The 17,117-nt window shown below is 37.2% G+C and overlaps 2 protein-coding genes and 1 pseudogene across 10 annotated transcripts in view; 1 reads left to right on the top strand and 2 right to left on the bottom strand.

The window, feature by feature from the left end:
* The window catches only part of PZP (PZP alpha-2-macroglobulin like), a 71,924-nt gene extending 58,041 nt beyond the window's left edge, over positions 1-13,883 (top strand). For 4 of the 7 annotated variants that reach the window (XM_047429274.1, XM_017019763.2, XM_047429276.1 and 1 more), the window contains 2 exons: positions 7,416-7,536; positions 9,423-13,883. In XM_047429274.1, the coding sequence (XP_047285230.1) occupies positions 7,416-7,534 (119 nt within the window). In that variant the 3' untranslated portion in view covers positions 7,535-7,536; positions 9,423-13,883. Of the gene's footprint in view, positions 1-752; positions 1,516-7,415; positions 7,537-9,422 lie in introns of those variants that run through there. The other 3 variants (NM_002864.3, XM_024449111.1, XM_017019764.2) reach the window with 2 other exon arrangements.
* Positions 1-17,117, bottom strand: part of KLRG1 (killer cell lectin like receptor G1) — a 265,527-nt gene that overhangs the window by 65,216 nt on the left and 183,194 nt on the right. The window contains exon 7 of one of the 3 annotated variants that reach the window (XM_017018684.2): positions 13,856-15,269. The exons of the other annotated variants lie outside the window; for them this stretch is intronic. The gene's annotated coding sequence lies outside the window, so the exon portion shown is untranslated. Of the gene's footprint in view, positions 1-13,855; positions 15,270-17,117 lie in introns of those variants that run through there. 3 annotated transcript variants of the gene reach the window in all.
* Positions 14,458-15,593, bottom strand: BTG1P1 (BTG anti-proliferation factor 1 pseudogene 1; annotated as a pseudogene).

Raw genomic sequence — 17,117 nt, 5'->3', positions numbered from 1 at the left:
GCTGAGATCACGCCATTGCACTCCAGCCCAGGTGACGGTGCGAGACTCCGTCTCAAAAAAAAGAAAAAACAACACAAAACAAAACAAAAACTTACTGAACAAATTTATCAATTAGTGTTTCTTGAGTCAGAAACTTAAGAATTAAAAAGAATGATAATATATAGTCACTGCTTTCAAGTAGTTTAGAGACATAGATAACATAATACAGATAAAAATATTACATAACAGGAAAGACTATTAGTGACAAATGAGTGTTAGTGAGCTAAGCAATAAGTTTGAGAGGCAAAAACAGCACAGAAGGCTGGTGCTCAGGAAGAACAAACAGGAAGAAAGATCTGATTTGGATCCTAGAGGATGAGTGGAGTTTTGGGGGTCTATAGAAGTAGGAGGAGTGTTTCAAGCTGGAACAATAATCTTTGAAAAGTAATTAAGGGAGCAAGCTGAACAAAGTGAATAGAAGCAGAGAGGTCATGGAAGAGAGAACTACAGGTTAGTGCAATTATGATCATCTTCCCAAGAATTTAAAATTTGAACAGCTGCCATCTGAACAGGCTTCAGTCCCCATCTCCAGTCTCAGGGAAAGAGAATATAAATATGTTAATGATCCTGTTTAATTCTTGTCTATTTACATGAAGTTTTGACAATTCTGATAGGGCGTGCTTTTCTCCAGTAGTAAAGTGACTAGACAGATTTAGCATGGTCCCTAGTTCATAGATCTTTCGTTTCTTCCTTCACCCAACGTTATCTTTCAGATGAGTCTGTGGTTGCTGAGTATATCGCCCCCTGCAGCACAGGTAAGAGTTCACCACTTATGACCAGTACTAGATGGCATTAACCCACTCTCCAAGGGCCCCTGCAATTTAAATTCTCTACAAGGCTTTTCCTACATCTGAGACAATCCACATGGCATGTCCTCACACCAAGACAAAACTGTGGCGTAGCATGCCTATTCTGTAGCGGACTCTCCAATTTCAGATATTCACTCCCAGAAAAGTCAATAAGCTTTGTTTATTTGTAGGACAGCTATCTCTAAAAGCGACATTTCACTTCACAGCTAATTGGGCTTCCTTCAACACAATGGTCAACTAATCACACACCTAAAACCAAATCTAGCCTTACACTTAATTTTGTAAATGAAGCTTTATTGGCACATGGCCACACTTATTATTAACATTGGCTATGGCTGCCTTTGTGTGCTGATTAGTCATGACAGACCACATGGCATATAAACCTAAAATAATTACCATCTGGCCTTTCACAAAGTTTCCTGACCCTGCATAAGCTCACTCTGCTGCCCACACTCAACTGAATGCTCCTCAGGAAATGATACAACCTCCTTACGTTTTTCTTTTCTCCATAGATACAGAGCATGGAAATGTTTGAGGACCATACAGGCTGTATATTTTGGTGGATTCTCTGTCCTATACATTTACTTAGAAGGAATGGAGTTATTTGTCTCTATAAAATAGACACTAAAAATATTTGCTGAATAAATATGTACTTCTGGTCAAACTATCACTTGTTGCATCATTCATTCATCAGACATTAATAACATGTTCACATGATGAGTTATATTCTTTCTGTTTAATTTTGGTGCAAAGGTTGGATTCTAATAGGTTAGCATTCTAGTAGGAAAGCAGAGTGGAGGTTGCAGGTAAAGAAATTGAATGAAAATTCAGTTGAGAAAGGTGGAAGGTGAGAACATAAGGGGATGATAGATAATATAAACGTGGTAATATAACTGGACTGGAAGGGTCAGAAGATTAGAAGAAGAGACATCAGAAGAGATGTTTGAGATGAGGAGAAGTGCTGTTATAGGAAAAACTAATATCTAGAGAATTGATAATTAAAGTGCATTTTAGGATAAGATTATTATATGGATTAAAAAAATAAAGAGATGAGAGTGAAGGATTTAGATAAACCATCTACAAACATGGATAATAAAATTAATAAGTTTAAAGATAAAAGTAACAGTGGTGAGGATGCAGTGACTCAAGGGTTAAAATCTTCAAAGAATAAAAGGGGAGTAACCTGCATCCTATAGATTATTTTAATAGAAAGAGACATGGTGGCTACAGTTAACCATATTGTATTCTTGAAAAATGCTAAGGAGTAGAGTTTAACCATATGACAACTATATGAAGTAATGTACATGTTAATTAGCTTGACTTAACCATTCTACAATGAATATATATTTCAAAACGTTGTACATGGTAAATATACACAATTTTTTCTGCTTAAAATAATTTCTAAAGTAATTTTTAAACATCATTTAAAAATAAACAAAGGTATAGCAGATGGTAAAATCAAATGGCATGAGAGTAGTTAATGCCTTTTATGGAGAGAAAAAAAATCAAGTATTTGAGAAGAGGCAAGAATGACATTATCCTATCTACAGAAACAGGGATAAATGTAGTGTGGGAGAAAAAAAAAACTGGTCACCTCTTAATGGAGACATAAAACAAGTCAAGGTCTCAATAGGAAGACATGCTTCAAATTCATACATAAAGGCAACATTTGGAGAAGGCTATAAGATATTTTGCTAATAATAGGTTCTGAGTTCCAGAAGACTTAGCTTGAAGGGTTCAAGGAGTCATAGAAGAATGGTGGGTGGATATACCAGAGTGGAGCCATAACACAGTAAGAAACTGGCTGATGAAAGATACATGAGTGGAGAAGTGAAGTCAGCAAGATGACAGAGTAGGAAACCCTGGTCTTCCCCCAGGCTTCCCCCCTGTCCCACACATGAACACCAGTTTAGTAACAATCATGGACAAATTCCCTTTGTGAGAAATTCAAAGGCTAATTGAAAGACTCCTGTATCCTAAACAAATGCAAAAGCAGACTCACCGAAGCCAGTAAGATTCAGGACATGCTACGGCTTATGAGAGGCTAAAAAACAGAAAAAAGAAGATTCAGAACACTCCCAGCATAGCATAATACAATTAGAAAGAGGCCCCCTAGCTCCCAGCTTCTCTTAGGGGAGAGAAGGGGTTACTTCACACATCTTAACTTTTCTGAGGGTTCTCCCCAGAGAACTGGTTTCTATCTTGCCAGTGATAGAGTTCTGACAGGACAAGCACAGTCTAGCTGCTTGAAGGAGAATGAAGATGGCAAGTTGGACTGGTAGGCACTATAGATCCTTCTCCCTGGTCAGCAGAGTGTGTGGACAAAAAATTTCCTGCTCTCAGCTTTCCCTTAGGGAGAGAAAGAGTTGATCCATGTGTCTAATGCCCTAACTTTTCTGTAGATACCCAAACAACTGACATCTGCCTTGCCAGTCGGGGAGCTCAGATGAGTCTGCACAGTCTAGCCCCACCTTGGAAGAAAGGAGGTGGCAGCTTGGAATTCTAGATGCCATTAATCCTTCCCCTTGCTAGCAGACAGTAAATGGATTTTTTTAAATCCCAGCTCTCAACTTCCGCCTGGGAAAAGAGTTGATCTTTGCATCCAATACTCCAACTTCTCTGTGGCTGACCAAAGAATTGGCACCTATCTTGCCAGTCAGGTAGTTCTGATGGGTCCAGCACAGACTGGCTGCCTGGGGGAGAAAGACAGCATTGATTTGAAGTGGTGAACACTATAACTCCCCTAGCTCATCACAAAACAAGCAGACAAGAACCACAGCTTCCTGCTTCTCCCTGAGAAGAGAAAGGATTGTTAGAATCTCCCACAACCTCCAACAAGGCTGATTGATAGGAACCTTCTCCTATACAAGACTAGTCTGTGAAGAATGGGAGAGGTGCCTTCCTTTGTCTAATGCAGAGGCAACAACACAGAGAGTCAAAGAAAATGAAGAATTAGGCAAAGATATTCCTTTAAAGAGGAACAAAATACATTCTAGAAATTAACACTAATGAAATGGAATTATGTGATTTACTTTATGGAGAATTCAAAATAATTCTCATAAAGATGCTCACTGAAGTCAAAAGAACAATGTATGAGCAGTGAGAATTTCAACAAAACCACAAAAAGTATCAAAAGGTACCAAGCAGAAATCATTGAGCTGAAGAACACAGTAACTTAAAAATTCACTATAAGAGTTCAATAGCAAACTAGATAAAGCAGAAGAAAAGATCAGTTAATTTGAACACCAGTCATTGGAAGTAGTTCAGTCAGAAGAGAAAAAAAGACAAAGAAATAAAAAGTGTAGAAAACCTAAGGAACTTATGTAGCACCATCAAATTGACCATTATACAAATTATGAGAGTCAGAAAAGGAGAATAGAAAGAGAAAGAAAGAAAAAACTTATTCATAGAAATAATGACTAAAACCTTCTCAACCTGAAAAAGGAAATGGAATCCAGGTTCAAAAATAACTAAGTAAGATGAACCCAATGAAATCCACATAAAAATACATAATCATTAAATTATCAAAAGTAAAAGAGAATTTTCAAAGCAATAAGAGAACAGTGACTTGTAAGATAGACAAGATGCCTGATAAGATGATCAGCTGGTTTTTCAGCAGAAATTTGCAGTCCAGAAGGCAGTGAAATTATTCACAGTGGTAAAATAATACAAACCTGCTAACCAAGAATACTATACCTGGGAAACCTGTCCATCAAAAATGGAGGAGTAATAAAGACTTTCTCAGACAAACGAAAGCTGAGGGAGTTCATCACCTCTAGATTTGTCTTACCAGAAATGCTAAAGAGAGTTTTTCAACTGAAAGAAAAGGACACTAAACAGCAACACAATATCAAGAGAAGGTATGAAACTGATTGGCAAAGGCAAATATAAAGAAAAACACATGATACTGTATTACTGTAATGCTAGTAAGTCACTTTTACTTCCAGTTAAAAGTTAAAAGAGAAAAGTATTAAAAATAACAAACTAAAATATGTTTTAAAACATAAAATAGATATCAATTTTCACAAAAATAAAGTGTGTAGGGACAGATGATAAAGGGCAAAGTTTTTGTATGTGATTAAACTGAAGTTGTTATCAGCTTAAAACAGACTGCTATAACTACAAGATATTTTGTGTAGACTCCAAGGTAACCCCAAAAAGTCTATAAAAGTTACACAAAAGACAGAGATTTAAAAATCAAAGTATATTGGTACACAAAAAAACAATAAAACACAAGGAAGACAGGAAGAGAGGAAAAGACAGACAAAATAATTACAAGGCTAACATAAAACAACTAACATGGCAAAAATAAATCTTCCCCTATCAACAATTACTTTAAATGCAAATTGAGTAAACCTCCCAATGAAAACACATATAGTGACTGAAAAGTTAAAAAAACAGACCCAAATATATTCTATATACAAGGTACTTACTTTAGATTTAAGAACACACATAGGCTGAAAGTGAAGGGATGAAAAAGATATCCCATGCAAATGGTAATCACAAGAGAGTAGGTGACAGGGCAGGAGTATCATCATCTTGGACAAGCACTGGCATTTTAAAGTTCCCCTTAATCAAAAACTGCCCCAAAGGGCATTGGCCTAATGGCTAACGTCAGCATGACCATAAACCACAAATGACATCTCTGACCAGAAACATTCCAACACGAAAATAAACCCTCCCCGACCAGAGATATGCCTGCCCCAAGATAACCTCCCCTCCGGCCAGAGAGATGTCAGCCCCAAGATAACTTTCCCTCTGACCAGAGACATTCCAACCCCACAATAAACTTCTCCTCCACACAGAAACATTCCAAGCCTGTGATAAGCTCTCTCACCCTAAAACCCTTAAATACTCTTAGTCTGTAAGAGAGAGTGGTCCTGACTAAAATTGGCCAGAAGCCCCTCTCAGGTTTATTCTCCAAAATAAACCTGTCTTTGACTGTTGAGCCACTAATCGTGTTTCTTTCCTCTTTCTTTAACTCTTACATTTGGTGCCAAAACCCAGGACGGGTGTTGTGGGTAGAGGCTCTCTTGCAACCCAGGAAGCAGTGGGCAGTGGCAGCTCATCCCACTGGATCCTGAGAGTCTCTGGCCAACCACCCCATCTTGCCTCTTACTTCACTTTTCAAGTGATTTACATGAGCAGGACAACTAACCTGAAGGGAACTGTGAGGCTCAGGCTGGGGCTACTCTCCAGTGGGCTCTCAGAGTCCTGAGACCTGACCACTTCTGACCACCCACAGTGGGTATTTTGCTCTCTAACACTTGTCCCCTCCTCCTCCCTCATCCTCACTTTCCTTTCTCTCTGTCTCTCTCTGTCTCTCTCTCTCTCTCTCTCTTCCTCATGTGGCTCTGGTTCAAGAGGCCCTTTGCCAATTCCAACTGGAACATCCAATATTGGACACTAATCCAGCCAACTGGTAAGATCTGCCTTCCCCTGACTTTCTCATGGTACCCGGGAAAGTCAGGTATGCCATCCTGATCCTCAGAGGACCAGTGGGACTAGGCTAGAAGAAATCTTGGGGACACCCAGTTTCTTCTCAGCTTAATTGTTCTCTTTAGAAAGAGGATTCTGGGTCTCTGTCTTTTGTCTGGGGACACCTACAACAAAAACAGACACCCTAGGCTTCTTCTTACCAGTCCACATAGGTGCTCAACAATCCAAAATTCCTATGTCCTCTCCACTGAGCTGTCTCCTTCACAGCCTTGCCAAACTTGGCTTATGGGAAGCATAAAGCCAAAGTGTTTGGCTTTTTATTGCAACGTGGCCGGGCCCCAGTGCAAATTAGATAATGACAGCTAATGGCCCGAAAATGGCACCTTTGATTTTTCAAATTCTCAGGGACCTTGACAACTTTATAACCAGGAACAGCAAATGGCAGGAGGTTCTTGCCTGAATATTCAGGCTTTCTTCTACCTAAGATCCTGACCCTCCCTGTGTCAAGCTTGCACCCCTCATGAAATCCTTCTTAATAAAACCCTCCCCAGGTTTCTCCTTCCTCTGAAATTCCTTCCTTCTAAACCCCTTCCTCTGAAACCCCTTTTGACCCTACAGATGAATGCCCTCTCTATCCTCATCCCCCTGGATCCACTTCTTGCCTGTCCGAACCCTCAGCCCCAAACTCCACTCTTCCTCCTTCTCCACCTGTTACTCATTCAAAAACTGCTTCAACCAGTCAAACCACCTCTGCCTTTCTCCTACTCTGGGAAGTGGCTAGGGTCGAAGGTATTGCTTGTGTTCATGTCCCTTTCTCCATGTCTGATTTGTCACAGATTAAACAGCACCTTGGATCTTTCTCTGAAAATCCCTCTCATTATCACAGGGAATTCCTGCACATAACCCAATCCTTTAATTTAACTTGGTATATTATTTACATAATTCTAACCTCAACCCTCACCCCTGATGAAAAAGAGCACTCAGCTTAACTAAAATCGATGTCCAAGCTATGAGTATATTCAAAGGCCTTTATGTTTTTCTCTTCATAAATCTTGTTTTCCTGGAAAAGGTTTTTTCCCAGTCAACTGAATTACTTTTCTCCATTCTTTCTTGCCACTCTTGGTGCAGGTATTAAAGACCCTAAAATGACTTCTGGTGGCCTGGGATTCCTTGGGAAAACAGAAAAGTTGCCACAAATCCCATTTGGGGAAAAACCTTTGTTTTCGTTGTGGAACCCCTGGAATTAGAGGTAAATAAGTACCTCTCAAAATCTGTCTTTGTCTCTCAGCTTTACTTGTTTATTAGGCCCTGGAAATTATTTTCCTAGCCCTGTTCTTAAAGGGCCTCACCCAAAGGCCAATAATCCAATTGGAAAATTAGAAAAAAAATCTTATAACTACTGGATTTTCTTCTGGTTGTCTGTGTGGCTATATATGTGTTAGGTGTGCAATGTCTATTTAAAAAGCTCTAATTGACTGGCCTAAGAAAAATAAGTGCTTAAATCAAATATTTTTAGAGGAAAAGTAAAAGCTATGGGACCTTTCAGTTCACGTGACTTTAATCTTTAAAACTTACTGGCACAGTAAAATTAGAAATGTTTTAAGAGTTGCCAGCATACATTTTTGTTTGCATTTATTAATCAAGCAATTTCATACTTATCTCTGCCAAATACTATTAGGTGTCAAAATTTGGCATAGAGACTACAAAACTATAACTCAGCCCAAACAGAATAATCTTTGCTTGTGTAATTTTTTAATAAATGAAACATTAATATTGGTTTAATAAAGATAGCTTCATCTTGAACTATTTAGTGAAATACCCTAACTTCTAATTTTGTGGCCTTAGGCAGTCTAGTGCACAGACATGAAGGAAGTTTGCTTTGGGAAAGGACTGTTATCATCTTTGATATTAAAGAAAAGAGAATTTATACAAAAAAGAATCATATATGGTAAATTCCTGTCCTGAAGTAAATTAACTAGTTGTTTAAAGAGAGGGATGTTTACAACAAAGTCGAGGCATGTCAGAGACTGTCCATGTAAGTCATGAAAAAATTTATAAAAGGGAATTTATGCAAGAAATGTTGTACAATTTAAAAGTGATTAGGACTCCTGAATGCTTTATAAAATGCCATATAACTCTTAGCTGTACAACTTGCCTGCTTTGCAGCTAGGTAAGACCTAGGACACATGGAGTTAAATGCTGGAATAAGTCGGACCTTATCTGAACTTCTGTCTGGGTCCTAGGCTCTCCACCTAGTACATAATTAAAATCCCAAACTTACCAACAAAAGTAAAGGTTGCTAAAAGTTAACAGTGTAACATGTATTTAAGACTATTGAAAAAACAGTTTACATATACTTTTGGTAAAAAGATTATAAGGAGGCATGAGAATGTGGATTTTTACCTAGATTAAAAGGTTAAAGAATTGTTTTAAGTTGAATAAAATAAAAATGAAGGTTTAAGCAAGTTTTGGAAGGTTAATTGTAAAGGAAATTCTGTGTGTAAATATATTGGCTAAAGTTGAAGAAGTATCATCCAGTTTTTCTGTAAACTGACATTAAAATAAAAGCACAGTGGGTTTGGTTTCTCTTAAAGCACTAACCTGCTCTTTAACAAAAATTATAAAGGGTTAAAAAGGGTCTATAGAAATCTTACCTTATGGTCAAACATTAAAATCGGGTAAATGTATCTACAAGGTTCTATTAAAAATTGAGTTTAACATTAGTAGCACACTAATATAAAGGTTTAGCTTATTTGGTATAAAATCATACAGGAAGCATTGTCAAATATAAAATGGTGTTTGGCTTTCTTTGGGCTATATTTGCATACATATGTTATTGGTATGTGTTCCAAAGTTATAAGAGACTCCTATATTTCTGATATATCTTAGTGTACGTTATCAGTAATAATTATAATTGTTATGTTAAAATATTGCATGCCACAAAGGTAACAGATATTCTTGTCAATTGTAACTTTATGGCTACTATAAAACTTTTTGTCATCCATAAACAATTGTTGTCTTGTTTTTGGTCCCCTAGAGACTGAAGTAATCTTTTTTACTTTTTGAGTATATTTAAGTTATGGCAATATAGTTATTTCCATCAGTGCAATAAGAATCTGTTTTATTTTGTAACAGAACATGATTTGAAAAACTGGTTATTTTACCAAGGCTTTGACTGGAGAGGTGTGCTGTCCTTTAAGGAATCAAACTTGACTTATGGAGCCAATAAAACTCTCGGGAAACTGGCCTCATATTTTATGTGCACAGTCCCTGTACAGGGTTTCTGACCTGTGGTAAGTAAAGAATGTCACTTTCTGACAGGCCAGTACCCCCAAGTTATCTTGGAACCTCAGGAGGAGAGGAATTCACCCAACTCATAGGTATTTAATGGTACAATTCCATGACTGGGCTCAGCTTTAAAAGGCCTTATCTCAGATTCCTTCTATGGAACAAAATTCCATCAATGCCAGTTTAAAAGGCCTAGGTAACAAATAATTATTCTTGCTGCACTGTATGCAAATAATTAAACCAAGTATAATAATGCAAACCATTCCTACCATGATTTATTTTTTAATAACGGTTACTGGCAGAAAATAACACGTGGCCCTTTCCAAACATGTGCCTCTGCCTCTCATTAGGTAAGGAATGTTGCTTCTATCTCAACCAATTGGGCCGAGTAAGAAACACTGCTAAATAACTTAAAGAAAGGGCCAAAGAGCTAAGGGAATTCCAAAACAACCAAATGGATTCTTGATTTGGGAAAAAAACCATAGCATGGGTCATCCCATTCCTGGGCCCCCCCCTACTACTATGCCTAGGACTAATGTTCTTACCCTGCCTAATTAATCTTTTCCAGAGATTTTTAACTGACAGGATCATGGCCATTTCACAGACAACTACCCAAAAACTGCCCCAAAGGGCATCAGCCTAATGGCTAATGTCAGCATGACCATAAACCACAAATGACATCTCTGACCAGAAACATTCCAACACGAAAATAAACCCCTCCCCAGCCAGAGACATGCCCATCCCAAGATAACCTCCTCTCCGGCCAGAGAGATGCAGCCCCAAGATAACCTCCCCTCTGACCAGAGACATTCCAACCCCACAATAAACTTCTCCTCCACACAGAAACATTCCAAGCCTGTGATAAGCTCTCTTACCCTAAAACCCTTAAATACTCTTAGTCTGTAAGAGAGAGTGGTCCTGACCAAAAATTGGTCAGAATCCCCTCTCAGGTTTATTCTCCAAAATAAACCTGTCTTTCACTGTTGAGCCATTTTTCATGTTTCTTTCCTCTTTCTTTAACTCTTACAGGAGGAGTGGCTACACTTATATCAGATAAAATAGACTGAGTTAAAAACTGTTACAAGAGACCAAAAGGGAAATTTTATAATGATAAAAGGGTCAATTCAACAGGAATATATAACAATTACAATTATATATGCATCCAACAGTAGAACACCTAAATATATAAAGCAAACATTGGAAAAACAGAAAAGAGAAATAGGGAGCAATAAAATAATAGTAGGAAACTTCAATACTATTTGCAATAATGGATACATCATTCAGACAGAAATCTGTATCCATAAGAAAACAGCAGACTTGAATAACACAATAGACCAAATGGACCAAACAGACATATGCAGAATATTCCACCAAACAGCAGCTGAATACATACTCTTCTCATGTGCACTCAGATCCTTCCCCAGGATAAGTCACATATTAAGTCACAAAATAAGTTATAACAAATTTAGAAAGATTGAAATCACACCAAGTGTCTTTCTGGCCACAACAAAATTAAACTATAAATCAATAACAGAAGGAAGACTGGAAAAATAAAAAATACATAGATATTAAACAACAGACTCTTGAAAAGTCATTGAGTGAAAGAAGGAATCAAGAAGGAATTTAAAGTGCCTTAATACAAATGAAAACAAAAATAAAAAACACTAAAATTATGGTATTCAGCAAAAGCACTATTAAGAAGGAGGTTTACTGTGATAAATACCTACATTAACAAAGAACAAAGATCTAAAATAATCAACCCAAATTTATACTTCAAGAGGCTAGAAAAAGAACAAACTAAGCTCAAAATTAGCAGAGAAAGAAATAACAAAAATTAGAGAAGAAATAAATAAAACAAGAAAAGAAAAAAATCAAAGAGGCTCAGTGGGTTTTTTGAAAAAAATAATTAACACACCCTTATTTAGACTAAAAAAAAAGAAATGAAAGAAGATACATTATAACTGCTCTTTTAGAAATAAAAATGATCATAAGTGAACAAATATGTCAACTAATCGAATAACCTAGAAGAATTGTGTAAATTCCCAAATACACAAAACATGTCAAAAGTAAAAATCAAGAAAGTTTGAACAGACCTATCATTAGTATGGAGATTTAATGAATAACAAAAATCCTTCTAACAAATAAAAACCCAGGATCAGATAGCTTCACAGGTAGATTCTAATACACATTTTTTTAAAAAAGTGCCAATCAGTCTCAAATGCTTCCAAAAAGTGAGAGAACACTTCCAAACTCATTTTATAAGGCCAGTAGCACACTGCTACCAAAGCCAGACAAGGACACTACAAGAAAAAAAAAATGACAGGCCAATATCTCTGATGAATATAGATGCAAAAAATATTTTAAAAATATTAGGAAATAGAATCCAACAGCACATTAAAGGGATCATACATCATGACCAAGTAGTATTTATTCCCAGGATGCAAGGATGGTTCAGTATGTATAAATTTGTACCACATTCACAGAATAAAGGGAAAAAAAATCACATAATTATATAAATACAAGCAGAGAAAGCATTTGACAAAATTCAACATTCTTTCATGTTAAAAACTCTCAAGAAACTATAAATAGGAGAGTATCTCAACATAATACAGGCTATATATGAAAGGCCCATAGATAATATCAGACTCAACGGTGAAAAGTTGAAAGCTTTTCCTTTAAGAACAGGAGCAAGGCAATGATGCCCACTCTTGCCACTTTTATTCAATATAGAACCAAAGCCCTAGCCAGAACAGTTAGGTAAGAAAAATAAATTAAAGCCTACCAAATCAGAAAGGAAGAGATAAACTTTTTCCTGTTTGCTGATGCCATTATATTATGTATTAAAAATCCCAAAGGCTCCATTTTAAAAAACTGTTAAAACTAATACACAAATACAGTAAGATTGCAAGCTACAAAATCAACTTACAAAAATCAGTTGCATTTCTATACACTAGCAATAAACTCTGAAAAGGAAATTAAGACAACAATCCCATTTACAATAGCACAAAAAAGAATTAAATACTTAAGGAAAAACTTTTCCAAGGAAGTGAAAGACCTGTGTCTGGAAACAAAAACATTGATGAAAGAAATTAAGACACAATTAAATAAAAATATATACCATGTTCATTGATTGGAAGATTTACTATTGTCAAAATAACCATAATATCAAAAGCAATCTATAGATTCAATGCAACCCCTGTCAAAATCACATTGGTATTGTTTAAAAAAATAGAAAAGGAAATCCTAAAATTTATAGGGAATGAGAAAACACCACAAATAACAAAATCAATCTTGAGAAAGAAGAAGAAAGCTGGAGGACTCACACTTCCTAATTTCAAAATTTAGTACAAAACCACAGTAATCAAAACAGTATGGTGCTGGCATAAAGACAGATAAACATCAATGACAGAATAGAGATCTCAGGAATAAATGCACCCATAAAAGGTCAACTGGTCTTTGACAAGGGTACCAAGAATACACTAGGGGGAATGGATAGTCCCTTCAACAAATGGTGTGGAGAAAACTGTATATCCATAAGCAAAACAATAAAATTTGATGTTTATCTTACACCATACACAAGAATTAACTCAAAGTGGATTAAAGACATAAAAGTAAGGCCTGAAACTGTAAAACTGATATAAGAAAAAATAAAAGACATGCTTTATGATCTTGGTCTTGGCAATGATTTCTTGGATATGACACCAAAATCACAGACAACGAAAACAAAAACAAATAAGTTGAACTATGTCAAACTGGAAAGCTCTTGCAAAGCAAAGGAATAATCAACAAAGTGAAAAGACAACATATGGAATGGTAGAAAATATTTGCAAACCATGTGTCTGACAAGGGGTTGCTATCCAAAACATATAAGCAACTCCTACAACTCAACTCAACAGCAAAAAAACTAATAACATGACTTTAAAATGGGCAAGGATCTGAGTAGACATCTTTCAAAAGAAAACATACAAATGGCCAATAGGTATATGAAAAAATGCTCAATGCCACTAATCAGGGAAATGCAAATCAAAACCACAATGAGATATCGCTTCACACATGTCAGGATGCCTATTATCAAATAAAAGACAACAAGTGGTTGGCAAAGATGTGGAGAAAACTGGAATCTTTGTATACTGTTGGTGTTAATGCAAAATGGTGCAACTGCTATGGAAACATGGTGTATATATTCATCTATATTTGTATATATGTATATGCATATTATATATACATGCATATATATATGCACACATATATGCACACACACATGCACAATGGAATATTGCCTTTTTTAAATGCCAAGATAAGAAACAATTTATTACAGAAGAAAAATTTCTCATCCAAAATATAGAAATCAATACAACTTTGCCACAATCAATATACACGAACTGTACAAATGTATACCCATTCATAATTTACCAAATAAAAGATGATTAACAAAGTTCACAAAATAGATGAAAATACTTTTACCCAGGAAAGTTACAAACCAGACCTCCAATTTCTAAAATAGAAGTTTACTCAGTCTTAGAAAACTACAAGCTAGCAAATGTACGTAGAGCTGGCTGGTGCCAACACCACAGTTGAAACAGTCTTTCTAAGGGTCTTTTTAAAAACCCGTTGCCATGGCAGATTCTGGTCACTTGCTACTTTCAAGGTCAAAAACACAATACAAAGTCTGACCATTTTCCCAGGTCATGTTTGCTAGCTTGTCTTTATGTACATTTAGAAATATTTGCTAGGTAAAAGTCTTGTCGTAAAATTTCCAGTACTACTATGTTTAAAACGTTGAGCTCCCCTATTGAGCTGCCAAAAAGGTAAACAATAATTTTCAAGTGTGATAGTTCAAATTCCTCTGCGAGATCTACTACAGAGAAAGGTTCTTTGACATACGGATTTTCTTTAAAGGAATTGATGTAAAAATTTAAGTATGTCTGGGAGAAGCTGAAATCACTCTAGGACTTCACTCCCTAGCAAATAAAGTGATCATTTACTTGGACTCATAGGCTATTAAATTATTGAAAGATACTGTACAAACTATGGCACTGTCACTTTTAAAAAAATGTTTACCACTCTATCTTGTGCCGGATCTTCACAGCTGTGACATGGTTTAAATTCCATAATCCATCCCCAATAGGAGCCCACCCAAAGCCAAAATCAAATTTATCCATGCACTATAAGATGATCCATCTTAACCTGATACAGTCATCATACTGTAGTTTTTGGAAGGGCTGGTTCTGCCCAAGAGAAATTCGTCCTTACAGTTTATTCAGCTGTCTACCATTTGTATGTCGGTGCTGTTTTGAGTGCTACCCCCTGCTGGTGGGGCTTTCATACAGCACACAGATGGAGCCATCTTCTCCAATTCTGCAGGACAGACATCTCATAGGTTGAGGTGAGCGTGAGTCCAACCCAGAGTGTGAGTTCACTTGGGAAAAGCTTGAACAGCTCCTGACTGCTCGGTCCAATCCACTGTGCTGCCTGTCCAGGGGATCCATTTCATGGTTGATGCGAATACAAAGATAACTTGATCTTTTGTATGGCTTTTCTGGGAATCAGTGATGTTTATAATGTTCTGTCAGCAGTTCCTGCAGGCTGTGGCTGAAGGTCTGCAGCTGTTGCCCGTTCGTGAGCCCTTTGCTGTGGAGAAACTTGGAGACGAAGGACATGGAGGCGGCCATCTCGCCTACCCTGGTGGTGGCTCTGGGGTAGAAGGGATGCAAGGAGGCAGAGGTGGGGCGGCCCGGGAACGCCGGGGCTCGGCTGCGCTGCCTCAGCAGCTGAGCAGCCCCCAGGGCTTCCTCACAGAGCAGAGGGCTGACAGGAAGAAAGGGTGTGAGGGGCAGACAGCTACTTTTTTCTTTCATTAGAGTAAAAAAGTTATTTTCTAGACAGGAAGAGGCAGAAGAGAGGAAGAGAGGAGCGATGGCGGTTTGGTTACATGGCTAGGACCTCCCCAGCTGCCTCCACCCCTGGCTGCAGAGCCTCTGAAGATCCCAACAGTTGCCTTTCCAGCACCGAAGGGCGAACTTCTTTAAAAAGAAGAAAATTCTGTATACGACAAAACTAATGAATCTTGAGGACATTATGCTCAGTGAAATAAGTCACAGAAAGACAAATACTGCATGATTCCACTTACATGATTTATCTAAAACAGCCAAATTCATAGAATCAAAGAGTAAAACAGTGGTTATCAGGGGCTAAACTGAAGAGGGAACGGGGAGTTTGTAATCAATGGACATAAAATTTCAGTGAAGCAAGGTAAATAAGCTCTGGAGATTTGCTCTACAATGTTGTACTTATAGTCGACAATAATATATTGTACACTTACAATTTGTTAAAAGGGAGATCTCATGTTAAATGTTCTTACCACAATAAAATAAAATTTTTAAAAGAAAAAAGACACCTGGTGTCTTTTTCTTGTAGCAACCGAAGTAAATAGAGATGTATGGGTGTATAGGCATTAGTTTGATTTTCTCTTACGAAGAGGTCTGGATTATAGCCTCCATCTTGAGACCGGAGTCAAGCACTTGAGGTGGGGAATGATGGAGAGATTGGAAGTGGCATTCTTCTCCACAACACCATGGGTTCTGTAGTCCCTTGTGCAATTCTGCAATTCTGCCATGATAGTTATTGAGACCAAGACAGGCAAAGTCTAACCAGGGAAAGAAGAGTTCTGTAGACTTCCTTCCAATTCTACCAAGGTTGATATTGAGAGCAGGCTTCTTGCCAGCAGCATTAAACCCAACAATCTATACTTCCTAGGACAATCTCTACCTTTGATTTCTGTAAAATAACACTTTTCTGTTTTTCTTCTGAGGCCCCTCCTCCACAGACCAGTTTCTGGATATCTTCTTCTTTATCAGATCTCTAAATGTTGAGATTCTTCTAGATTTAGATCTATGCTGCTTGTTCTTTGCACTCTACATTTTCTTCATTCATTTCTACAACTTTTAATAGTGTGTATAGGTAGCTCCCAGATTGCTATTTTCACCGTGATTCTCTTGCCTCATACTTTTCCCCTCTTTGGTGATGATGTGTCAGCACATTGGCCCTCTCTCTAATCTTGAATACTTTATTTCTGTCTGGGGAGTTTAGCACATGCTTCCCTCTGCCTATAATGCTGTATAACTTGCCCTCTCCCTTTTTGCAAGGATAAATTCCCAGCTTAAATGCCATATCATAAGAGAGGTCTTGACTGAATGCACAATCTATGTTGGATCTCCCTGGATGTTCAGGGAAGAAAAGAAACATTTTTTTCTTTCACAGCATTTATCATCATATGGAATTACCTTATTTAATTTATTTGTTTATATACTTTGATCTGTATTCTTCCACAGGAATGTATAATCCCCAATGGCAGGAACATGTGGTTTTTGTTAACCACAGAACAGTATCTGATACAAAATATGCATTAAAATTCTTGTGAACTGACTAAATAATATCCATCTCTCCACTTGATTGCTTTACTTGCCACACATCCCCAGTACCTAATTCAAGAGCTTGGCTCATTGTCAGCCTTTAAATATTGACTGAACCCAATTAATCACT

This window comes from Homo sapiens, chromosome 12 (genome assembly GCF_000001405.40).
Source record: "Homo sapiens chromosome 12, GRCh38.p14 Primary Assembly".
In the NCBI taxonomy this organism is placed as follows: domain Eukaryota; kingdom Metazoa; phylum Chordata; class Mammalia; order Primates; family Hominidae; genus Homo; species Homo sapiens.
Note: the sequence above shows the minus strand (reverse complement) of the source record. Positions and strands in the feature narration are given on the sequence as shown.